This window comes from Homo sapiens, chromosome 5 (assembly GCF_000001405.40).
Source record: "Homo sapiens chromosome 5, GRCh38.p14 Primary Assembly".
NCBI lineage: Eukaryota > Metazoa > Chordata > Mammalia > Primates > Hominidae > Homo > Homo sapiens.
The window spans coordinates 128255235-128282057 of record NC_000005.10 but is presented as its reverse complement, the minus strand read 5'-3'; the positions used below and the strand labels follow the sequence as shown (position 1 = coordinate 128282057).

At 37.2% G+C, this 26823-nt stretch overlaps 1 protein-coding gene across 2 annotated transcripts in view; it reads left to right on the top strand.

Moving 5' to 3' along the window:
• The window catches only part of FBN2 (fibrillin 2), a 280337-nt gene extending 256188 nt beyond the window's left edge, over positions 1 to 24149 (top strand). For both annotated transcript variants that reach the window (XM_017009228.3, NM_001999.4), the window contains 10 exons: positions 1741 to 1866; positions 3217 to 3423; positions 4053 to 4178; positions 5898 to 6020; positions 7375 to 7491; positions 8090 to 8218; positions 9940 to 10059; positions 18402 to 18633; positions 20151 to 20322; positions 22229 to 24149. In XM_017009228.3, coding sequence (XP_016864717.1) covers positions 1741 to 1866; positions 3217 to 3423; positions 4053 to 4178; positions 5898 to 6020; positions 7375 to 7491; positions 8090 to 8218; positions 9940 to 10059; positions 18402 to 18633; positions 20151 to 20322; positions 22229 to 22603 — 1727 coding nt within the window. In that variant the 3' untranslated portion in view covers positions 22604 to 24149. The remainder of the gene's footprint in view (positions 1 to 1740; positions 1867 to 3216; positions 3424 to 4052; positions 4179 to 5897; positions 6021 to 7374; positions 7492 to 8089; positions 8219 to 9939; positions 10060 to 18401; positions 18634 to 20150; positions 20323 to 22228) is intronic.

Below are 26823 nucleotides of genomic sequence, written 5' to 3'. Positions count from 1 at the left end.
ATGAAAACAAAAGAAGACATGGTCAGAAATCTGTTTTAGAATACTTATAGCCCTCTTAAATAATTACCTGCCGGGCACGGTGGCTCGCACCTGTAATCCCAGCACTTTGGGAGGCCGAGGCAGGCGGATCACGAGGTCAGGAGATTGAGACTATCCTGGCTAACATGGTGAAACCCTGTCTCTACTAAAAATAAAAATAAAAAAATTAGCTGGGCGTGGTGGCGGGCGCCTGTAGTCCCAGCTACTCAGGAGGCTGAGGCAGGAGAATGGCGTGAACCCAGGAGGCAGAGCTTGCAATGAGCCAAGATTGCACCACTGCACTCCTGCCTGGTCGACAGAGCGAGACTCTGTCTCAAATAAATAAATAAATAAATAATCACCAAACTACATACACTAATTTTTTTAAATTAATTAAAGTGGAAGAAATAATATAAGTGGACCAATGGTGAGCCAAGAAACCAGTAAGCCTCATTAATTTAAACAGATGCTGATGGCACACTAAAAATCTAACAAACCAAAACTTCTAGATAACATCAACATGGCAGGTGGTTCAGGGAGAGAGCAGAGATAAGTAAATTTATGCAAAGGTGCTTACTATGGCCGAGAGCTTTCAAAACAGATACTTCTTGGCATTGATAGAAAATTATTCATTAAGAATGTGTGTTGAAGTTGTTCAGTGGTTTCCACTGTAAGAATTGAAAGAAGACTGTGACTTCCAAATATGAGTTCATAGGGAAAAGGAGGGCATAGGAAGAGGGCAATCCCACAGTAAATATAAAACAATATAAAATGTCAGGTGAGACTCTAAACATATCAGTAATCATGACAGATATAAGTGGTTTAAACTGCTGGTTAAAAGATAAATGTGTTTTTAAGAATTCTGCTAGGTTCTCTTTAATAGAATTGTAGTACCAAAATTGAAATCTGAGATAGGTTGAAAATAAAAATATTCAAGGCAAATACTAATAAAAGCAAAGTGCATGCAAATATAAATGTCAGTAAATTTTTAAAAATTTTAAGTATAAAGATGAAAGGAGCCATTTATCAAAAAGATGTAATTGTCATGCGCTCTCTTATGCTCCTAACAACACAGCTTTGAAAGAAACCTCAAACAAAATTTACAAAATATCAAAAAAGCACAAAAAGTAAGGATATAGAGAATTTTAGTGAAAACAATTTTGTTGAAGTAGGTTTATTTATCACCAACCAAAAGAGCAGTATTACTTAAACTGCCTCTCCCATTAACTACCCTCACAGACCATAGTTGTTCCTGTGATTTTACTCAAAACCAATTTAGCAGCTTGTCCTTTATTCCTGGCCTGTGAGGCTTTTACTGTACTCATCACCCATACCCAACACCCACCATCCCTCTCCCCACACCTTTCTCTAATATCACAGAAACTGACATTCTTTTCCCCAGAGTTCCCATCCTTGCCTGGTGTCTCAGGGCAATTCTATTCCTTTTGGAGGCCAATTTTCAATTCTATATATTAACACTATCCCTTCTCTGCAGAGGATAAAGAAAAGAAAGAAGAAGACAACATTATCTTAAGAAAGAACCCACCAAGAAGGATGAAGTAAAGCTAAAAATAAATTAATATTCACACATGACCATTTTTAATCTCATCATATTAGTATTTTGGCAAAGAAGTGTTAAATAAGATATAACCCATTAGAAGATAGCTTGTAAACTATAATTTGACAGTTTTCTCATTATTCATATTGTTTGTTTTTCTAAAGATGAAAATGAATGCAGGACCAAGCCAGGAATCTGTGAAAATGGACGTTGTGTTAACATTATTGGAAGCTATAGATGTGAGTGTAATGAAGGATTCCAGTCAAGTTCTTCAGGCACTGAATGCCTTGGTAAGTTGACATCCAAATATATTATACTTGGTAGATAAAACATCTGTTCATGATGTCATCACAGAAGAGCTCCACATATATATTCTTGTCTGCTAAACAAATCCCCCAATCTCAATAATCCACATGCTTCTTCTTAAAGATGCACATCTATTAAAATGATATATTTGTACATGTGTGTGTTATATGCACATCTATGTGTAATGTAAATAACAATCTTAAATAGTCTTTCCAAAATTAAGATTAATTAAGTTCTTTGGAAAATTTGGCTTTAGTAAAACTTACATCAGAGGATGATTTAATTCCAAAAGAAAATATTTGCAATATGAGGTAAGCTCTGCCACAATTAATGCAAAATAAATGCCATATTTCAAAAATGCAGGGAAGGTTACTTTTTATATTGTGGTACAGAAAAAAATGTTTTATAAAACCTTTTTATGGGAAATATACATCTCAGACATTATATTTTATTTTAATGTTAAAATGCATACATTATAAATCATTGTAGTTAATTATGGCAGCTGCAAAAAGTGTGCTGTAGTAAAATTCAAGGTAAACAAAGAAATAAGAGCGCTAAGCTGTTTGACTCATCACTTGATTTAACATAAAAAGAGTATTTCAACTATATCACATTTTTTTCTGAATGACGTCATATGCTTCAAATTCCAAGAAATTTTTGATCAAAAAAACATTTTTTGTTTATTGTTATCTCTAATCTATACCTTTACTAACTAACATCAGTCTTTTAGGAAATAGGAAAAGTAACCTACATATAAAGTGTAATTTTCTGTTCATTTTATTAACAGTTTGGCTAGGATTGTTTATAAAACTGTATTAAAGATTTAATTGGCTTTTAAATCTGAAAAAAATAATTTTATTTATATTTTTATAAAATCTACTCAGTCCAAGTGTTTGAACAGTCTTTCAGATGTAGAAAATATGAGATATCAGATTGAATAAGTACCAAGCTCATAAAATATAGTCTAGAGTTTGCTTTCCAGAAACTAATCCTGGCACTCATTTGTTTAAAGGAAAATAATTTAATTTGATTTTCCTTTCACTTGTATTCTACAGAAATGGTAGGTCACTATCATTTAGTTGGCAATGGATTGGAGGAAAAAATCTATCTATTTCTAAAGTATAGTATCACTTTTTGTCAAATTTAATAGACTGTAGTCTGTAGTGAAAGAATATGCTATGAACTTAACTGCCAGCAAAACTTAAATAATTAAGACATTAAGCTGTCTTAATTATTCCTAAGGAGGAAATTCTTGACTGCCCTGCTTAATTTGAAAGCCAGGATAATGAAATGTCAGTTCCGCATCCTTAACTCTTTCTACTTTGCCATTTCAGACAATCGACAGGGTCTCTGCTTTGCAGAGGTACTGCAGACAATATGTCAAATGGCATCCAGTAGTCGCAATCTCGTCACTAAGTCAGAATGCTGCTGTGATGGTGGGCGAGGCTGGGGCCACCAGTGCGAGCTTTGCCCACTTCCTGGAACTGCCCAGTACAAAAAGATATGTCCTCATGGCCCAGGATATACAACTGATGGAAGAGGTAAGGAGTTGAGGAAATTTATTCATATAATCAACACATTAAATTTTATGAATTCAGATAAATGTGAAGGAAAAGTGAAAAATTGATACAATCAAAAGAGTAGCTAAAATGTTTATACCTTGATATTTATATTTGATGTGTGTTTTCATATATATGTATATAGAAAGAATAATCTTTGCTAATGCTTTAGAGATTTTAGGAGTTAATCTTCGTATCAGACCTAAGGGGTAGAATGTATTATTCCCATTTTAACAGATGAGGAAAATGAAGCACAAAGCTAAGGTAACAATAAGTAATTTTCCCAAGATCACACACTTTTTAAGGGATGGACTTTGAGGGGGTAGCTTTCTAGATTCCCCCCAAAATCATTCATGCTTAGATTGCAAAATGGGTAGTCTTAAACAGGGCTTTCACCAGAGTCTCCCTTTATCCCCTCCCATCACTTGAGATTATTTTTCCATCACATCCATGTTGCTGTTCACCTGAATGATGAACAGGTGCTCCAGTGCTATTAGGAATGTTTGCAGTTAGTTATGTCATCTCCATTTCTTCATTTCTCTTTGATTCTAACCAGTTTTACCCTTGCATATATGTTAACTCCTGATTGTTTTTGTTGTTTTGGTCCACAGATATTGATGAATGTAAGGTAATGCCAAACCTCTGCACCAATGGTCAGTGCATCAATACCATGGGCTCATTCCGATGCTTCTGCAAGGTTGGCTACACCACAGACATCAGTGGAACCTCTTGTATAGGTAACGATGGGCACCTCTATATCCAGGGGTTTGGGGGCTAATCAGCTACTGTTTCCTGCAAGTCACTCATTATCAGTAGAGTGTCTTTATTATGGAGCTTTGGAATATATATTTTATTAAAATGTTGCCATCCTCTCAATAATGTGCTTCTTAATCACACAGCACTTGGCCTTTGTCCAGTAATGTGGGATGCTTAAAGGAGCCTCAGTAAAGAGAGTTTAAAAGAACTTGTGCCACATCCATGTGTCAAAAACAGAGAAACTCTTAAGTTTCTGATTCTCAGGTTGTAAACCTGAGAAACAAAAATCACAAATACATACTTTCAACATTTTATATTTTAATTTAAAATTTAAAGTGCACATTTGTTTGTCACTCTTTGACTGAAGGAAAAGGGCTTTTTCTTATGAATATGTGTGTTTGTGTATATTAAGAGAATGTTTTCCATGTTTCTCTGCTATTATTTTGCATAAAGTATACCAAGTAAGCATTACCTAAATAAAATTTCCAGCTGCGGAGCAGTCTCAGTACAGAATCCTTCTATCATTTTACAATTTATTTTTCTTATTCGGTTTTTTATTGTCTCACTCACACCTATATATGACAGTCGTGGGGCAGAAAGGACTTAGACTTTTGTCGGGTCTTTCCAAAGTATTCAACTTCATTTTTATTAAAGAAAAAATTTTTTTTCTCCTTTATATTTCATTAGCTTACTTGATATTCTATCAAATTACCTATGTCAATAACAAGCACACTTGGCATTAAAAGGTTAAGAAAACCCAACTGACTTCTTTGAAACAGAAGAGCATGAGTAATAGAGAATAGGCCATTAATCATAAGCATTCAGCATTCTGTGGGCATCAACGCCGTATGTTATATGGAGGAAATGGAGATTGTCTGCTATCTCAGAGTCCGAGTAGGAAAGAGATGGCATATTTCAAGGAGGACAATTCAAGGAGGGTCTAACAAAAAGACTGTCTATACACGTGTGAGCAGTGTGCACAAAAGCCAGGAGGCGTAGTGCTGTGTGCTGGGGCTGTACTACCCCTGGGCCAAAAGAAAAGAGTCAGAAGTTATTGGAACCTAGAAAAAGAAAGTTGTGCTCAGAGGACTGCCTTGAGAGGACCTCTGACAGCTGCTCCAGTGACTCAGCCAGCCTGAGCCTATCTTGCAGGGAGGGAGTTGAGGAAATAAGGGCCAGACAGAAGACAGAGGGCAAGGGAGAGCCTCCGGATGGAGTCTGTAGAGCTCCATCTCTTGGGCCTGAGAGCAGAGTGGACCAGGGTGAGGACTGAATCTGAAGGGGAAAGTGGAAGGTTTCCAGCACCATCTGTGATCCCACAAGATGCTTAAAGGAGCCTCAGTAAAGAGAGTTTAAAAGAACTTGTGCCACATCCATGGGTCAAAAACAGAGAAACTCTTATTAAGTTTATGATTCTCAGGTTGTAAACCAAAGTATATTAATCTAAAGAATGTAGTAATTTTGGACCCAGACAGTTGTCTAGACATCATAATATTTACCCAAGATCCATAGATTGATTTACAAAGTAAACCCGCATGTTACTTTAGAAAAAATCCTTCTGTGCATCATTTCTCTCTGGCTATATTCCACTTTAAGTTGAACAGGAAAAACAAAAAGAATGAAGTGAGAATATGGAAGGAGGAAAGAGTCTGGTTGTTTCTTTTAACCAGTAATTTAATCTTCACATCACTTTTACTTAGACCTTGATGAATGCTCCCAGTCCCCGAAACCATGCAACTACATCTGCAAGAACACTGAGGGGAGTTATCAGTGTTCATGTCCGAGGGGGTATGTCCTGCAAGAGGATGGAAAGACATGCAAAGGTGAGTGAAGAGTCTCTGACAATCGTGACCCTAGTCTGTATCTTTTCTTTCAAATTTAAATATTAGATTATCAGGAATTATGCCATGTGCATCACCTTCATTAAAAGGTCCCATCCTAGTGGCCATGTTATTGCTCATAGAAAAACTCTACCAATATGCTCATTGCAGGAAGCAGAGAGGATTAAAACCCAAGTTAAAACAGTTTGCTTCTTATAGAAAACTGCATAAATTTTAAAAAATAAAATAAAACAAAAGTTTTGGTATGGGAAGAGATCGAAACAAATCACTGAAATAAGATATTTGTTGTTGTTGCTTATCTAAGCTTTTATTTCTCTAAGCTACCTTTATTACAGGTTTACTGTGGAAAAGTGAAAATGGATAGGTAAATTTAAATTTTTTGCTTAGGTAGTATCAAAAGTAATTATTTATCAAGCTAAATTAGATCATTAAAATAGTTTCAATACTATACTCATATATTTGATTTTATAGTAAGCCTCATCAGAATGAAATTAATGGACTGAGCAAATTTTTAAAATGTAGATTATTCTCAGTAAAATGAGGTTTTATTTCCAAGGCATATCAAAAAAAAAAAAAATAATAGCAAGCACCGCTTGGACCTGTTTAGTGAACTGAACATTGTTTATGTTCAGTTGTACATTGTTTATGAGTATGACTAAAGACTCCATATCAAAAAAAAATGAGTATGACTAAAGCGTTTTTTAAGCTGTAAAATAATAAATTAGTCTTGCCTACATCTTATGTGGTATATTTATTTTAAATATAGTTTCCAAATTAAGTTTTAGTATAGCCAAAATCAAATTTTGAGTTTTTAATTAGTAGGGTCCAAATATCAATACCATTTGTGACTAGAATTACAGGTGTTGTATTTTGCTTCCTCTAATATTAATGCCCGTGTTTTCATCTGAATGTGGAGACTCTTAGTGTTTCTGTTCGGACCTTCATCAGTTTCTAGATTCTGTTTCATTTTTATTTAATCCTTCCTTTAATAGGAATCAGTAATCAGCCATGTACTATACTGCATTCAATGCAAGAATTGTAACCTTTGGATAGTAGCTTTGAGAACAGTTCATGGAAACTGCTATGATTCTGCCATTCAGTTTCTTATGTTATATATTGCCTTAATTGTCCTATCATCCTAGCCCGTAATATTTATTCTGCTTAAATATGTAAAAAGAAACTGTTTGCCATATGCCTATGGAAATCTACGAAGCTTCCAGCAAAAATCTAGACAAAATGCTTCTAATGGAGCATGTGCATCTCCTGTGGCTTCACAAGAAAGGAAACATAGCCAGATAGTCTACTGTGATTTTCACTGGCTTCTCTCTAATTTCAGACCTTGATGAATGTCAAACAAAGCAGCATAACTGCCAGTTCCTCTGTGTCAACACCCTGGGGGGGTTTACCTGTAAATGTCCACCTGGTTTCACACAGCATCACACTGCTTGTATCGGTAAGACAAAGTTACAAATGGGAAATTTTACAAACTTCTAGTAGATGCATAAAAATTATATTTAAAATTATAAACAGAAGAATGTCCTGGTATTTATGTTCAGTAACCAATACCCCATAATTTGTGGTCTAAAGAAGTTGCTAATAAGATAGATATTTTCAAGAACAATATCCAAAGGGAAAAAAAAGGCCTTTTTAGTCCAAGCACCTGCACAGTAGCCATATTTCAAGCAGTGCCTTTATATCACATTCTTAATGCAACCATGGTGTTCAGACAAAATATGATTAAAGGCTCACTGTAATTTAGAACATGTTAACAAACATATTGAGCTTTTATTTTAGAAGACACATGTTAAGGAACTTTAGTCAGTGTGCCTTCAATCACTCCAAAATATGCTCAAATCTCAAACCTCTTAAAATACACTTTTTCTTACCACTTTTGTCTTTAATATGACAGTGAATTTTGGTATAAATTTTCCCAAAATGCCATTTTCACATCATGAAACTTAGGTTTTCATACATTGCTTTTTACTTCCCATGAAACGTAAGACATGTTATGATTGGAAAGTTTGACGCTCTGCTTCTTGATGCTTTGCCAGACAACAACGAATGTGGGTCTCAACCTTCGCTTTGTGGAGCAAAGGGAATCTGTCAAAACACTCCAGGCAGTTTCAGCTGTGAATGCCAAAGAGGGTTCTCTCTTGATGCCACCGGACTGAACTGTGAAGGTTAGTTGATTTGCTCAAAAATTCTTAATCTAATAACAGTAAACCATATATATTTTTAACTTCCAAGACAAATTGGTATAATCTGAAAAAAAGAAAAAAAAGTATTGAACAAAATAGGACCCAGCAACTTATTCCTGGTCATAAATTTCTATGTATCACTTTGGGGACAGAGGGAAACCTAAATGCAGTGAAACAAAAATTCTGTGATTACGAATTGACTTTTAAAGTAACTGTTGACTAATCATGGATCTGAGAAAGAATTGAATTGAAAAAGAATTCTGTGCCTAATATGGTTTGCGGTAGTGTACAAGCATACCAGAAAAAAATAATAATTGGCCTTTTGTTCCATGATTCTTAAATGTATAAGAATTAAATATAAAAAGAATCTGTCATCAGAGAGAATTGAACAAATGTACTGAACACGCTAAGGTGAAATGATGGCTGTTTCTGTTTTTTACGAGTCAAGCTCCCGCTTCACTCCTTCACTTTCTTACAGTGGACCTTGGTCTCCTCTGCAATAACTATTTCCTGTAAAATCCAAGGGAACATTTAAGTGGAAACAAAATAAGAACATGCTTGCAGTTAAGAAAATTTCATCTAGTTCTTCACTATTTATATTGCAAGTGGCAGTGTATGACAAGAAAAATGTATTAGGATTAGTGTCTTATAAACACCCATGCCAGAGATTATGAGACTATATTTATTTCCCTTACATTCTTATATCGTATTGCAATTTATAGTTTTCTTGATTTTAATCACCCTTTTAACATTAACTATTCTTAGAAATATATGATTTGGATTTCTAGAAATATATGTTAAGTATTTAATTTGCTCTCTGTAAGGCTTGTGGGGCTTTTATATGTATCTCATTTTCAGCAAAGAAAAATTCAGTTTTTAAAATGTCAATTTTAATATTTTATCTTTCAAATCGTTGAGACGTTGAAAGTATTCTTAACCTACAGCTGTTTGCCACATGCGAGTTCAGCTCGTGACCATCCCCATAAGATACCATTTATTAATTATCCATGTAAATTTGTTACACCCCTCAGACATGCCAATTTTATTTTACTCTTTATGGATAGATTTCAAATATTCGGTTGTCATTCCAAAAAAGCATACATAAATAAAGAAATTATTCCACATGTATAATAATACCACATCTTGTCTAAAAATAACATATTTAAATACTTAAGAGGGATTTGCATCTAATTAATCTTGAATGGTAATAAAAATTTTTACGTGCAATATAATTGTACTTTTTAGGTATCTCTGTAATGCTTCTATCCTCCCAAAAATGAGGATTGTATCTCAGTCACTTTCAAACTTACTGGACTATGCAATGCAAATATATTTTATATATATATATATATATATATGATTTACCAAATAAATCATACCATTTGCAGTTAATTAGTTCAAAATGTACAACATTTGTGGTTGCTATGGTTGACTTGCTGAAATTGAGATGTTATTTAGAGCACTGACATGCCGTGGTCTGGTGGAGAGCAGAAGAATGAGCTGGTCTCTTATCTCAGAACTGTTCCCTGCACCACCACTGACTAATAACCATGTGACCTGGAAAAATGACAGCCTCTCTATGTGTCATGTCTTGTTTGTTTGTTTGTTCCCATGATAACAGTTACCCCAGGTTTCGTTTGGAGTGCATTTAAAAATAGTAGAAGAAAGGTGACATAAAGGTTTTGCCGGGCTTGTTTTTGCAGATGTTGATGAATGTGATGGGAACCACAGGTGCCAACACGGCTGCCAGAACATCCTGGGTGGCTACAGATGTGGCTGCCCCCAAGGCTACATCCAGCACTACCAGTGGAATCAGTGTGTCGGTGAGTGCTCTTTTCTTCCATCGCACTTGCTTTTCTCACCTGAAAGTGTCTCTGAATAAGATGAACAAATTGTGAGGGTTGAGATTTCAGTATAGCCTTTGAATTTTAGACTTTAAACCCAGTCCTTAAGACTGATGCATGGGGACTCATTCTGCTAGTGTGTATGTTTGAAAATATCTATTAAAAAAAAAGTTTGTTTTTAAGTACCGGGAAGTTAACTTAACTAGAGGTTACTTCATTTTAAATATCTGCTAAGTAATTTTAAGTTTCTGAAGATGATGTCAAGAATCATCATCTTTGTTTGCGAAGGTCAGCCACTTTTTTGTCTGTAATTTAATATATTTAGATTTCCCATCCATTCCCCTCATACGAATCTAAAGGAGTTCACATCAACTTAATGAGGACAGTCCATGTGTGCTCTCCTGTCACATAGATTTAATAAAGGATGGGAAGTGTTTTAAGGTTGAAAAAGTACCTACTTACAGCAAATGCTGTTGGCAGCTCTAGACAGAAGTGTTTGTAAAATAAAATACGTGGCTCTCAGCTCTGTTCCTTGCATTGATAATAGTCGCTGAAATTCTCCTTTTAAGGAGTGATTGATCAAAGAGAACATTATTCTCTACTTGGATAGCCAGGTGACTTACTTAGCATATGCCTAATTTCTTGGCTCCTTTTGAATGCGCTTCACAGACACTCCAACCAACACATTTTGATGCTAGGTGCTGGCATAACTGAGCAGAAAGGGGCACTGTGGTCCTGCAGAGAAATATCAGGATGCTTCCTGTTTCTGTGTAGTAATTCAAATTACTTCACAGGTTATTCACATATTGAATTATTGTGATCCACTAAATAAATTAGTCTGATTTTATCCTTTGTGGTCTTCTCAAAAGAAATTTCTAGTGACAGCTAAGTGAATTAAGAACAAAAAATCAAGATAAATTTCAGTGGAGGGAAAATCATGCCAGGTCAAAGACAGATGCTTTACCACACCACGAATATACACTCATAGGAGTGTAGAAATGCAGAAACCAATAAGTGATCAAAAGTTAAAGACAAGACAGTTTCAAAAAATTATTTAAATTACCAATTAGGCAGTTATTCAAAATAACTTTATAAATTTAATTCACTTTTTTTTCCTCTTCATAGAAAAAAACTGTTGTAGAACTCCTTATGCCCAGATTTATTGATTCATAAACAAAGGCAAAGTGTATGGCACACTCTTTAGAATATCAGAAACAGTATTTTTTACATAGCTATTAAAATAATGTAAAACATTCTGTAGGTTGCCTATTCACTCTGATGATAGTTTCTTTTGCTATGCAGAAGCTCTTTAGCTTAATTAGATCCCATTTGTCAATTTTGGCTTTTGTTGCAATTTCTTTTGACGTTTTCGTCATGAAGTCTTTGCCCATGCCTGTGTCCTGAATGATGATATTGCCGACGTTTTCTTCAGGGATTTTTTATTTTTTTAGGACGGACTCTCGCCCTGTTGCCCAGGCTGAAGTGCAGTGGCATGATCTTGGCTCACTACAACCTCCGCCTCCTGGGTTCAAGTGATTTTCCTGCCTCAGCCTCCTGAGTAGCTGGGATTACAGGAGTCTGCCACCATGCCCGGCTCATTTTTTGTATTTTTAGTAGAAACGGGGTTTCACCATGTTGGCCAAGGCTGGTCTTGAACTCCTGACCTCAGGTGATCCACCCGCCTCAGCCTCCCAAAGTGCTGGGATTACAAGCATGAGCCACCATGCCCAGCCTCTTCTAGGGTTTTTTATGGTTTAGGGTTTTAAGTCTTTAATCCATATTGAGTTAATTTTTGTGTAAGGTGTAAGGAAGGGGTCCAGTTTTAGTTTTCTGCACATGGCTAGCCAGCTTTCCCAGCACCATTTACTGAATAGGAGATCCTTTCCCCATTGCTTGTTTTTGTCAGGTTTGTCAAAGATCAGATGGTTGTAGATGTGTGGTTTTATTTCTGAGGTCTCTGTTCTGTGCCATTGGTCTATATGTCTGCTCTGGTACCAGCACCATGTTGTTTTGGTTACTGTAGCCTTGTTGTATACTTTGAAGACAGGTAGCATGAGGCCTCCAGCTTTGTTCCTTTTGCTTAGGATTATCTTGGCTATACACGCTCTTCTTTGGTTCCATATGAAATTTATGGTAGTTTGATGGGAATAGCATTGAATCTATAAATTACTTTGGGCAGTATGGCCATTTTCACAATGTTGATTCTTTCTATCCATGAGGATGGAATGTTTTTCCATTCATTTGTGTCCTCTCTTATTTCCTTGGGCAGTGGTTTGTAGTTCTCCTTGAAAAGATTCTTCATACCTCGTTTGCTGTATTCTTACGTATTTTATTCTCTTTGTAGCAATTGTGAATGAGAGTTCATTCATTGTTTGACTCTCTGCTTGTCTATTGTTGGTGTATAGGAATGCTTGTGATTCTTGCACATTGATTTTGTATCCTGAGGCTTCGCTGAAGTTGCTTATCAGCTTGAGTTTTGGGGCTGAGACAATGGTTTGTTGGGTTTTTGTTTTTTTTTTGGGGTGGAGTCTCACTCTGTCGCCCAGGCCGGAGTGCAGTGGCACGATCTCAGCTCGCTGCAACTTCCACCTCCTCCCTGCAACTTCCACCTCCTCCCTAGTAGCTAGGATTACAGGCGCCTGCCACCATGCCTGGTTAATTATTATTAGTTTATTATTATTATTATTATTATTACTATTATTATTATTATTATTATTGTATTTTTAGTAGAGACGGGGTTTCACCATGTTGGCCAGGCTGGTTTCGAACTCCTGGCCTCAAGTGATCCACCCGCCTTGGCCTCCCAAAGTGCTAGAATTACAGGCATGAGCCACTGCGCCTGGTCAGATGATGGGGTTTTCTAAGTAGAGAATCATGATATCTGCAAACAGATAAAATTTGACATCCTCTCTTCCTATTTGAATACCCTTTATTTCTTCTCTTGCCTGATTGCCCTGGCCAGAATTTCCAATACTATGTTGAATAGGAGTGATAAGAGAAGGCATTCTTATCTTATACCAGTTTTCAAAGGGAATGCTTCCAGCTTCTGCCCATTCAATATGATATTGACTGTGGGTTTGTCATAAATAGCTCTTATTATTTTGAGATACATTCCATCAATATCTAGTTTATTAAGTTTTTAACATGAAGAGATGTTGAGTTTTATCAAAGGCTTTTTCTGCATCTATTGAGATAATCATGTGGTTTTTGTCTTTGGTTCTGCTTATTTGATGGATTGTGTTTATTGATTTGCATATGTTGAACCAGCCTTGCATCAAAGGGATGAAGCCGACTTTATCATGGTGGATAAGTTTTTTGATGTGCTGCTGGATTCAGTTTGCCACTATTTTATTGAGGATTTTCGCATCGATGTTCGTCAGGGATATTGGCCTGAAATTTCCTTTTTTTGTTGTGTTTCTGCCAGGTTTTGGTATCAGGATGATGCTACCTTCATAAAATGAGTCAGGGAGTAGTCCCTACTTTTCAATTGTTTGGAATAGTTTCAGAAGGAATGGTACCAGCTCCTCTTGGTACCTCTGGTAGAATTCTGCTGAGAATCCATCTGGTCCTGGGCTTTTTTTTGGTTGGTAGGCTATTAATTACTGCCTCAAATTTAGAACTTGTTATTGGTCTATTCAGGGATTCGACTTCTTCCTGGTTTAGTCTTGGTAGGGTGTATGTGTCCAGGAATTTATCCATTTCTTCTAGATTTCTTAGTTTATTTGCATAGAGATGTTTATAGTATTCTCTGATGGTAGTTTGTATTTCTGTGTGATCAGTGGTGATATCACCTTTATCATTTTTTTATTGTGTCTATTTGATTCTTCTCTGTTCTTTATTAGTCTAGCTAGTGGTGTATTTTGTTAATTTTTTCAAAAAGCCAGCTCCTGGATTCATTGATTTTTTGGAGGGTTTTTCATGTCTCTATCTCTTTCAATTCTGCTCTGATCTTAGTTATTTCTTGTCGTCTGTTAGCTTTTGAATTAGCTTGCTCTTGCTTCTCTAGCTCTTTTAACTGTGATGTTAGAGTGTTGACTTGAGATCTTTCTAGCTTTCTGACATGGGCATTTAGCGCTATAAATTTCCCCTAAACAGTGCTTTAGCTGTGTCTCAGAGATTCTGGTACGTTGTCTGTTTGTTCTCATTGGTTTCAAAGAACTAAAGAGCTTCTGCACAGCAAAAGAAACTATCATCAGAGTGAACAAGCAACCTACAGAATGGAAGAAAATGTTTGCAATCTACCCATCTGACACAGGTCTAATATCCAGAATCTGCAAGGAACTTAAACAAGTTTGTGGGAAAAATACAAAAACCCTATCAAAAAGTGGGAAAAGGATGTGAACAGACACTTCTCAAAAAAAAACATTTATGTGGCCAACAAACATATGAAAAAAAGCTCACATCACTGATTATTAGAGAAATGCAAATCAAAACCACCATGAGATACCATCTCATGCCAGTTAGAATGGCTATTATTAAAAAGTCAAGAAACAATAGATGCTGGTGAGACTGTGGAGAAATAGGAAAACTTTTACACTGTTGGTGGGAATGGAAATTAGTTCAACCATTGTTGAAGACAGTGTGGTGATTCCACAGGGATCTAGAACCAGAAATACCATTTGACCCAGCAATCCCATTACTGGATATATACCCACAGGAATATAGATCATTCTACTATAAAGACACATGCACACGTATGTTTACTGCAGCACTATTTACAATAGCAAAGTCTTGGAACCAACCCAAATGCCCATGATAGACTGGATAAAGAAAATGTGGTACATATACACCATGGAATACTATGCAGCCATAAAAAGGAATGAGAGCATGTCCTTTGCAGGGACATGGATGAAGCTGGAAATCATCATCCGCAGCAAACTAACACAGGAACAGAAAACCAAACACCACATGTTCTCATCATAAGTGAGAGCTGAACAACGAGAACACATAGACGCAGGGAAAGGAAGGGAATAAGCACATGCTGGGGCCTGTTGGGGGTTGGGGGGCGAGGGGAGGTAACCTAGAAGATGAGTCAGTAGGTGCAGCACAGCACCATGGCACACTTGGCTATGTAACAAACCTGCACATTCTGCACATGTATCCCAGAACTTAAAGTAAAATTTAAATAAATAAATAAATATAATAATAATATAAAACAATTTTATTATATTACAATATTTATAAAATATGAAGCCCACCACTTTATTTAGTAAATACCATGGACTTGTTGGTTAATTCCATAGACCTTAATCCAAAAGAATGATTCTCTATCAAACAGAATTTTTTTTAAGGAGAACAAAAGTAGAAATAGGAAAATGCATGGAGTGCCAATTTAATTTCAAAGTGTTTCAGTTTCCTGAAGTTTTTGTTTCTGAACACCTAGCACAAAACGAGCTGCACAGGTTTTTACTAAATGTGGAAGCTCTATCTAAAATAGTCTGACTTAAAATCAAGATGGTGTGGTGTATCCCAGTTCCCCTTTATGAGATCCTGGGGTGAGCACTTTGACAAGGCAGTCACCCCCAAAGGAGCTCGCAATGGAGTCCAGCCAGAAGCCGGTTTGCCTTCTAATCAGGAGAAACTCCATGAGCAGAGGAATAAATGGTTTAAGATGAGTCCAAAACTAAAAATACATGAGCAGATATCCCTAATTGCAGGTATTAATTTGTAAGCTTATTCTACTAAAATGAGTACCTCTAAGCAGCAGGTGCCTGGGTACGACACATCAGGGATTTATTTCAAAAGATTCTAGATTCTTCTGGGCAGGGTTGAGGAATCCAGCTTGTCTCTAATAAAATTGCTGACTTTCTTCCCTTGAATTCATGTAACGCCATTAGATTTTTAACTCAAACATATGGCAGAAATTGGGTGAAATACCCCTTCAGGAAACTAATAAAAGCAACAAGTTAGCAAAAGAATTAGGACAAAACGCAAATTGAAAAGCCACCAACATTTTTTATCTGTCACTACTTGTGTGAATATCTTCAGCCATTCATATGATTGATGGGGGAATACAGAAGGAAGCATTTCAGACAGATTTCCCCCGGAATCCTCGTCAGTGGTCAACACTGTTAGTCAATGCATCAGACAGTTTAAACAGGCAAAACTGTAAACCTACGATGTTACTAAACCTGCTACCAATTGAAGAAGAATGAAAGTTCTTTGAAAGTGTTAATATTGAAAAAAGCTTTCAGTTCAAACTAACACTTTAGGAAGTTTTCTGCCAGTTGTCACAAAGAATTTACAACGTTCTGGTAGATAGAGTGTACAGATGTAGGGAACATTCTCAACTATTTGTAAGCATTAGAATTATTCAAATACAATTATTCAAAATTGGAAATATGTAAATACTAACATTTGCATATGAAGAAAAATTATGTCTTCATATATGAAGACTTTGTGTTTTAGTAACTTCCAGTTGCTTCTGTAGCCTGTTCACAATAATTCACACATAGTTGAGTGAGGCTTGAATCAGTTCAAAGTATGTGTCAGACAGGAACATATTTATTTAAGTCTATAAATTTTAATCATGATATACATTTATAGAATATAAATATGAGGTATATCATGGTGCTTGCAAAAATGTTACATATTTTTAAATATTCTTGTAAGTGATATGTTTAAATATAATTTATTCAGTTAATTATTTTTGCCTGGTAATTTTTCTTCCTAACACAATGTCTAATGGTATATTCATGGCAGGATCATTTTATTAAATTGTAATCTAATTTAGATTCCCTGTTAGGAGAGAAACACTGCATAGGAATGTCAGATCTAATTATAAAAGCAGATGAGGCTTTATGGCAGAATTCCAAGTCTCTTGTATATAGAAATAAAATAGCAGTTATAGTTACATCTTATGTAGCCAAGTTACTGAGAATTTATTTATCGTATCTACGTTCTTCCCCTGCCATAAAGGCTAAGAATTTTCACATATTAGATAATCAGCATCTTTTATATTCAGTGATTAAGACACCTACATTTAGTGGTCTCCTTTAATTCTGAGACTATCAGAATCATGATACAAAAATGTTCCTAATAATATCTACCCTTTCAGTAACTTCTGTCCTGTACTTAATGAAGTTTAATTCCTGTCTGGGAGGCCTCTTCACTGAGAGCCCATGTGCATCTTCCAAATCTCACTGAGCTGCTGCAGATCCCTCGCTTCCCCACTAGGTACTATGTCCTCTGTGCACACCCACTTGCACATGGGCCTGTTTCCCCACATGGGCTGAAATATATACTTGTCACATATTAGGTAAACAGACACTCTTTGCTCCACATGGAGTCACAAGAATTGAAAGAATTCCATGGAACAGATGTGATTTGTTCCCAGGGTGAAATTTGGATTATAAAAAAAGCCCAAAGAAGTCAAGCCACATGCTGTATATCAACCAGACAGTTAAGGCAAACTTATAATCTCCAAAGTTGAAAGCATAATCAGACTTTGATTTTGTAAAAATGATAATAGTAACTGAAAGTATAACCTATAATTATCCTGCTACCAGGTATTTATAGTATAATGTTAGTCATTAAGCGAGTAAAAGCTATAGCTGGCTGATGGCTGGATGCAAACCTGCCTCAGAAAGCACAGTCTGCACCCAATGGGTTCTCAAGCATTTTAAACTGAACTAGTTGTTCGTTCAACTGATTTAACTAAATAGTGTTGTTTTCCATCGTTTTCATTTAGGGTTTATAAATTTTTTTATGCTTTCTCCTCCTGTATAATGAAGGTTTGGGGAATTGCTGGGGGAATGGATACAAATACTTATAGGGACTTTTTTAATTGATATATCATAAACTTCTCTCTTTTAAAGTGTACATGTAAATGGGTTTTGTAGATTCTCACAAAGGTATGCAGTCATCAATACTACCAGTTTCCGAACATTCTCATCACCTCCAAAAGAAACACCATACCCAAGAGCGGTCATTTCCCATTTCTTCCTCCCGACAGGCCCCGGCAACTAATTTTCTCTCTATCTCTAAGGATTTGCCCGAGATATAAGCTTTTGAAGTAACCTTCTGTTAAGAGAATAGAAGAGTTATTCACTAGGCAAACTGCAAATATCTGTTCCCAAGGGCTGCAGACATATTTAGAAACAGTACAAACAGAAAAGAGCAAAGCAAGGGTTTTTTAAAGCCACAATTTAGGGGAATTTTTTTCATTCACGTGCTTTGCAAATCAGTCGTCAGAATAAAATAAAATACTGTGTTAGAGTTATTTCTGCCATAAAATCACAGGCACTTGAGACTCCAGACTTGTTCACGTTTTTGCTCTTGCCTGCTTCCCCGTGTAAGAGTTTCTTTCTTCGTTTCACTAGATGAGAATGAATGCTCCAATCCCAATGCCTGTGGCTCTGCTTCCTGCTACAACACCCTGGGGAGTTACAAGTGCGCCTGCCCCTCGGGGTTCTCCTTCGACCAGTTCTCCAGTGCCTGCCACGACGTGAATGAGTGCTCGTCCTCCAAGAACCCCTGCAATTACGGCTGCTCTAACACGGAGGGGGGCTACCTCTGTGGCTGCCCCCCTGGGTATTACAGAGTGGGACAAGGGTAAGGCGGCCTTCAGCCTCAGCACATAGAGGAATACATGGTTCCTGAGTGAGTTCAGGCCACCCCCCACTGCAGGGAAGAGTACAGTGTCTAAAAGCCAAACCGCAAAAGCATTGATTAGAACTCTTCGGGTATGCAGATAAATACCAAGAAAGCACACACGGACTGTGCTCAGGGTATAGCATTACTTCCTTTGTGATGAGCATAAAACTTGAACTTGTATGTAAATATCACTCTTTGCTCCTCTTATTAAGGGCCTGAATTGATTCAATTTGACCCAAGGCCAGAGACAAACAGATGCTTAAAAATGCGGCTCACACGTTGCCATGGATACCTGGGCTGTGAGGTAGAAGTGGAAATGGCCTTGCCACAGGTTCTTCTACAAATTCTGGAAGGTGCTAGCATAGTGATCACTGAGGAAGGAGTTTGTCCCTTTCTTTGCTCATGTGGCTTTCCTATCGCACAGAGAGAGGATGGTGCCTAGTTGGTGTGGTGTCATTCAGCACGGGCCTGACCCACAAGACAGGCTTCCCTCCAACTAGGCGCACTGTCTCAAGTTCCATGGGCTGTGGCAGAGGTGCTGGCCATTTGCATTCTTCCAGGAAGGCCGTGGTGCTCAGTAACACAGAAGATGGGCATTTAGAGGTCAGTCCAGGTTGCCTTCTTTGAAAGGAGCAGTGTGCAAGGCAGGGACTAAAAGGCATGGACCAAGTCTGTCCAACAATGGTGTATGATAATAGTTAAAACAAAAGGCTTGGTCTACACAAAGGTCATTTAGAGCCAATTCATTGACTCACTAACCAAAATATAAGTTCAGAAATCTCAGTTTTTAAAGCAGGGAGCTTTGTTGCAAGCAGCAAATACAGGCTTCAGGCCCCTGAAACAATGGAACCTGTCTTAGCATTCTCTTTGGAAATTCATACCTTACTTTTACCTTCTGGAGTTAATTATGCTCAGTACTTCAGTCTAACTAAGATTGAAAATTGGGAAAGCATGGGGCTCACCCTCAGAAGAATTTTGCTGTTTCAAAATAAGGGAAAAGTTTATCTATTGTGTGTTAAAGAATTATAGGGGATTGTGGCTCATCCCTGCAATCCCAGTACTTTGGGAGTCCGAGGTAGGAGAATCGCTTGAAGGCAGAAGTTGGAGACCAGCTAGGGCAACATAGCAAGACCCTATCTCTACAAAACATGAAAATTAAAAAAAATTAGTTGGATGTGGTGGTGTGTGCCGGTTGTCCCTGCTAATTTGGAGGCTGAGGCATGAGGAGCTCTTGAGCCCAGAAGTTTGAGGCTGCAGTGAGCAAGATCGTGCCACTGTACTCCAGCTTGGGAAACAGAGCAAGACCCTGTCTCTAAAAGAAAAATAAAAGAGTTGCAAAGAATATTAGGGTTTTATGTTTATGAGTTTAGTGTTTGCTCTGTTGGTTTCGTGTTTCTGAAGAGTCTGCTCTACCACTGGAAAACTATGGTCAAGTCAGTGATAAAGTCTAACAATACTTTGCTTTTTGCAAATAGCCACTGTGTCTCAGGAATGGGATTTAACAAGGGGCAGTACCTGTCACTGGATACAGAGGTCGATGAGGAAAATGCTCTGTCCCCAGAAGCATGCTACGAGTGCAAAATCAACGGCTATTCTAAGAAAGACAGCAGGCAGAAGAGAAGTATTCATGAACCTGATCCCACTGCTGTGAGTATATCCCACTCTGTGTTGCCACAAAATTTTATCCCTACGGAGTCATGTATACAGTGCAGTTCACGTCGTTTTCAGCCTCACTGAAGTTAATCATACCTTGAATTTAATGGATAAATTAATGGACCCAGTATGGAAAAGACAAGTAAATTAAAGTGATTGAATTATTAGATCAAAACACAAAGCTTGGGAGAAAAGACTTTAAGATTCACAGTTTCAGAGCATTTTCTCTTGTTGTAGTTTTTGATTTATGTGGGAGGGTATGTCCATCTCGGGAAGAGCTATTTTTACATGATTCAAAAAATGAAATTATTTTTAATTTGTTCAGTTCTGTTTTATAAATGTATAGCATACAAGGCTGATTTTAATTTTCACTAGGGAAACCAAGTAGGTCTCATATTCTTTGTTTTATTTTTAAGACAGTTGTTCCTTCATTAAGAAGTTTTGTCTTCCAAATCACTTGTATTCTTTAAGGAACTGAAGTTGGAAATTGCGAGCCACTGATATTTCCTTTCCCTAATTGCATTTTGGCAGTGTTTAAAGGGGTGGGCTGCAGACTACCTGGTTTTGAACGTAACTCCCTGGCCCTCCCTATCTGTTACCTCTGTTACATAGTTTGTGTTTATTTAACTTCTCTCAACCTCAGTTTTTTCACCTGTAAGATGGGAATAATAATACCTCTGAAGGCTGATGGAAGGGTTAATTGAATTGAAACATGTGAACTGCCTGGAACAATGCCTGACATATATATCACATGTGTTCAGTTCCTATGAATGATTAATATCTCATATCTAGAGATCTTGATGATTTTCCCAAAGATCTGAGACAGTATGAGGTCGTCACTCACCACTCTCTGCAGTTAATATGACTGAGAAATTACCCCACCAAAAAACCTAATCAACAACTGGCTGGCTGTGTGAATTGGACAACTTGCTTCAGTTTTTTGGGCCTCAGAATCTTTGTCTATATGACCTGACTTGTCTAGCCAAAAAGTTCATGATGCTATTTTATAATAATAAATAAGCCAGTGTTACATTTACCTTAAGTAGACTAAGATACCCAACTGATGTTTGACAGTTGAGATATTCATCAAGTTCCCAAACTACAAATCCAGAAGTTCTGCTTATAAACTTTCCCATTGGGGTACTAGGACATAATTCTGCCTGAACACTGATGGGCACTTCTGGGTCACCACTGCCAAGTCCTCACTTAACAGATGCCCAATCAAAGCATTGTGGTTTTTATCCTATCTTACTTTGATATATTTGTGCTCCTCCCAACCCTCTGAGCAAAAGTCAGACTTGGTTTATCTGGGCCCTGCCCCACTGGCTTTTACCAAAGATGCTGGTTTGAACTGGAGCCCTGAGAACTCTGCAGATCACTCACTCTGTGTACCTCTGATAGCTCCCAGTAAACTCACTCATCATTCACTTACCTTACAAATCAAAGCCCAGCTTTCAGACAGAAGATTCCCCTGGGCGCATTCCCTGCTGATGCCCAACAGCAGTACTTCTTATTTTGACTCCAGAAAAAAAAAAATCATTACCTAAATTTTAGTTTTTAAAAATTATTAATTAGCACAATATTTCATAAACTCATCAAAAAAAACTTGAAATGGGAACACTCTGTAAGCCCAGTCCTGTACCTTTAATTACCTTGTTAAGGCTGAGTGAGAAGTCCTAAAGATTTACAGGGTATTCTCGATGGAATTGGCCTTTTCTTCCAACTGACAAAAATGTACAATAGCCTCTTTCACAGCCACTGCTGGTAAGGAGAGTGCAGAAAGCGGGAGTGGGAAGCCACAGCCTGTCCTCGTGACCAAAGCCCCTGCAGCTGATCTCTTTCTAGTCCTCTGCTTGTGCTGTAGAAGCTTGTCCCAAATCATTTCCTGTTCTTCCTCCAGGTTGAACAGATCAGCCTAGAGAGTGTCGACATGGACAGCCCCGTCAACATGAAGTTCAACCTCTCCCACCTCGGCTCTAAGGAGCACATCCTGGAACTAAGGCCCGCCATCCAGCCCCTCAACAACCACATCCGTTATGTCATCTCTCAAGGGAACGATGACAGCGTCTTCCGCATCCACCAAAGGAATGGGCTCAGCTACTTGCACACGGCCAAGAAGAAGCTCATGCCCGGCACATACACACTGGAAATCACTAGCATCCCTCTCTACAAGAAGAAGGAGCTTAAGAAACTGGAAGAGAGCAATGAGGATGACTACCTCCTAGGGGAGCTTGGGGAGGCTCTCAGAATGAGGCTGCAGATTCAGCTCTATTAACCCTTCACAGACTTGGGCCCAGGCTCAAATCCTAGCACAGCCAGTCTGCAGAAGCATTTGAAAAGTCAAGGACTAATTTTAAAGAGGAAAAATAATAATAACTCTTGTTTCTTTCCTCCCTGTCTTAGACTTTGAATGTTGACCCTCACAGGGAGGGATAATTTAGACTCTGGTATGGCCAAAGATTTGAGCACAAAGGCAACCGTGGTTACTGTATTTTTTATATAACTTCATTTTAAAATATATTAAAAGAAACCTAAATGTTCAAGATATCAGCATATGGCACTAAATGCACAAAAATAATGTGAGCTTTTTTTTTTTTTCCTGTTAGCAGTCTGTAACACTTTGGGTATTTTGCTATAGTTGCTAATTAAAAAAATATAGATGTTTATTTATTTTTAATGCAGTAATATATGGAGAAATGAACAAACTATGTAAACAAAAAGGGAAACTCACTTGTTTTTCTTTAGATTTATAAATTTGAGCTATTTTTTTTAGAGGTGCTTTTTAAAAATCCAATAGATACAAGAGATGTTTCCTTTGGTTTTCTGCCAGTCATCCAGCTGATACACACCTGATGATTTTAAAGAAAGCCACACAGAGCTGAATGGGCAGTGTAATCAATAATTTAAAAAACATGAATGTCATTAGATCCTTTATAACGTAGATCGAAGCCAAAGCAGCTCATTTGTGACAACATTTCATATCACCAGACACACCAGGCAACAGAAGTTGAAGCACAACCACTGTAGCAAAATACCTTGACTGCTTGTGAGACCATTAGCATTGCAGGCCAAACCGTACTGTATTTCCTTCTCATAACCTCAAGGAACCATATGTGCTACCCACAACACCTCATTCTTACCCAGGGTGCGCTGCGTCCTCATGGTACTGTAGGCAGCTGAAGAACCGCCGTTCCCTTGAAAGGGAACACCTGGCATTCTGTGGTGTTTCGTGCTGTCTTAAATAATGGTGCATTTATTATGTTCAAGTTATTTCAGGATTGCCATATGTGCAAACAAATCATGCAATGCAGCCAAGGAATATATGTTGTTGTTGTTGTTTTAAACCCATTTTTTTTTTAGAATTTTCATTAATACTGTAGTTATACACCATATGCCTCATTTTATCATAGCCTATTGTGTATGAAAGATGTTTGTACAATGAATTGATGTTTAGTTTGCTTTAGTCATTTAAAAAGATATTGTACCAGGATGTGCTATTAAGAGCACGTATCCATTATTCTTCTCAACCCAAGAACCTGTTTCCTGGACCAGTGACCAAACCTCATATGTGAAATGGCCAAAGCACATGCAGGCTCCTGGTTGTTCCTCTCAAACCTGTGCTGACCAAAGATTAGTAACCAGTTATACCCAGTATTTTGAGGTTTTATTGTTTTTTTAATAACTAAAAAGAAAAAAGGAACAGTGTAAATTTGTAATCAAGAGTTTGTGAGGAAAAACTTATGGTTTTTGGTTTTGTTTGTTTTTGTAGGTCTGTGTATCAAATATGACACTTTTCTTGCAATAAAGCTTATTTTGGGGTATTTTTCTGACTGAAAATTTTATGAGACCACAACGCCTGTTGTATTTGCGGGAGGGGCTGGGGGCTTTGTCTATGGGAACCTGTATTGAAGTAATAATAGAGAGCCAGACACACAGGAAAATAAAGGAATGCTGGCAAATCTGTGAAGCAAAGTCAACATGTGTTCAACTGATGATTATGATTTGAAGTTACATTCAAATAGAAGGACATAAAGTCATTTACTTATGCATAAATTCTAAGCTTCCTGGGACCCATCTTTCTGGAAACTTCAAAGAATTTCTTCACTTCATGCTAATGCCCCCATAAAGTATCCATGAGGAAGTGAAACATTCTTTTAGAGAATCTTACTTCTCTAAGGTAGAAATTTCCTGAACCCAAGTTTTTAAGCAAAGGTAATAGCGGGCATACCCCAGGCCAAAAGGCATTTTCAAAAATAATCTAAACCTTATCTCTTAAAATGGTATACAGTTTATTCACTGGAGAAGTGGATAGATTTAACAAAGTATTTAGCATGAACTCCCTTTTGATACACTGCCAAAACAGGCACAGAAATGTTTCCAAGACTCTTAGAGATTAATTTAATACATGGTTTAAGAATTTATGCGCTTAAATTTTTTATCCAAGGAATAAGTAAACAAGGAAATATTGTGACTGATCTTAGTGCTGTTCTTTGCCAATCAGAAATTAGCTGCATGGAGTAAGAAAAGTATTTGCCTCAAGGCGTTCTTTAAAACTTAACATGCATATTCAGTTTCATCTGGCATCTATTATTGGTACAGCATGAGTATTGTAATATGAAATTACCTGGAACCAAATTTGACTCTAGCCTTGAAAGTTGAGCAACAACATTTAATTTACCTTTAACTGGCTCTTAAAGAAGTTTGAGAATCCACATCTTTAGGTGCTTTACGTAGAAGATAAAAAATGATGAGGGGTTTAAGAGAAGAATGAAGTAGAAGGAAATGACCACTGCAAGACACTCCTTCCAGGAGGAAATGTCTCAGGTACCTTTGGTAGCTTTGTTGCCATTTTTTTACTGTGAACACTGACAAAATCAGAATGAATTTGTCTGTCTCATAACGAACTGCTAATGACATTTTCTGCACTATTTTGTCATTCCCATGAATGTCCCATTTGCTCCAGAAACTACCTTGGCTAAGTTATAGAAAACCTTGCAGGAGAGAAAGGTGTGATGTAAGCCCAAACACATAAACCAAATCCACTGGGCATATGTATTAGTTAATAAGTAATAATTTGGTCTTTAGCTGACATGAATTCTGTTTCTACTTGTATTTAAATTTGGAGCTTTAAAAAATGTAGCTCTATTTAGTACCTTTTGCTTTCGCTACTTGTAGTAGATAAAAGTTGGATATTTTTGCACGTGAACATTGAATGAAATTCAGGGACAAAACGTTTAGAGTTACACTAAATTCAAACATCTTCCTTTTTGCATTATCTAGGAATACTAAACAGGATAATTCATACAGTCTTTCTCTTTTAAATACTTTAGGGTTTTATTTTGCATTAATTGCCTTCCTGGTTCAGAGAATAAACGTGTGGGGTTGAGGATGGGAAATACACTAAAAATTATAGAGCATCAGTCTACTAGAGTCCTACAAACCTTTAGGGGAACAAGGTAATTCATATATTAATTGAAGCATATGAATTTGCTGTTATTTGGCCATGTTTAACCTACAAAATGGCAATTGTATGTGGTTCAATTTAATAGTTCAGAAATACATTCCTCGAGAATTGACTGGAAATCTGAATACATCTTTTCTCTTCAAAAGACAGTAACCCATTCACTCCTTGCTATGCCATTGTTGGCTCATTTGTACTCCTAGTTTACAATAGTCCACAAGAACATAATTTATTCAAACAACCACTTTCTTTCAAGCTCCAAAACACTGGAAAGAGTCTAAATCACACACCTTTGCGACCTCAATGGTATTATGGAAGCTGTTCAAAGACAAAGACAAGTCCATTGGGAAAGGTTGGAATACAGCACAATGTTTTGTGTTTTTTTGTTTTTGTTTTTCCTTTTAAAAACTAAAGGAAAAACTTGAGGAACTTTTACTTCTTGAGAGAGACGAAAAGTTGGAGATTCATTGCTACCCAACAGGAAGTAAGGGTGTCAACCATGTCTGCAATCTCATCCCAGCCTCCATTTTTTTTTAAAACACGTTTGCTTTCTCAAATAGATACAAAGCCATGGTTTTCTTGATCAATAAGAAGTACATGTTTCTGATCTCACCTCCTTCAAAATTATTTCAGTGTACAGAGCAGTGGAGTCCTAAAATACAATGTGACGAAAGTTCTCTGAAAAGGAATTTGAAGAAAAGAGACTTTATACCAGTGAACAGTTTGCAAACTGAGAAAATATAGTTTCAGTGTGAAACAAAGGTGTGTTCCAGAAAACAAAGAGAAGATTCAGATTTTAGAGCAAAAGGTCATGCCCAGGTTCCCAATCAGGTTCATTTATGCAAATGAAGTATTCAAAATTGCTTAGTTCTGACTGGTTGACACAGTTGAGTCCTGATTTGTCAATATAGCTGAGCCCTGATTGGCGGTGGGGACAGGTGAGCTCTGAATGGTTGGTTTCCAACCCCCAAACCAGAAGTCTCTGTCAGATGCTTCTTTCAAAGGGTTGATGGGGGCAGGGTTTCTGGCCACAG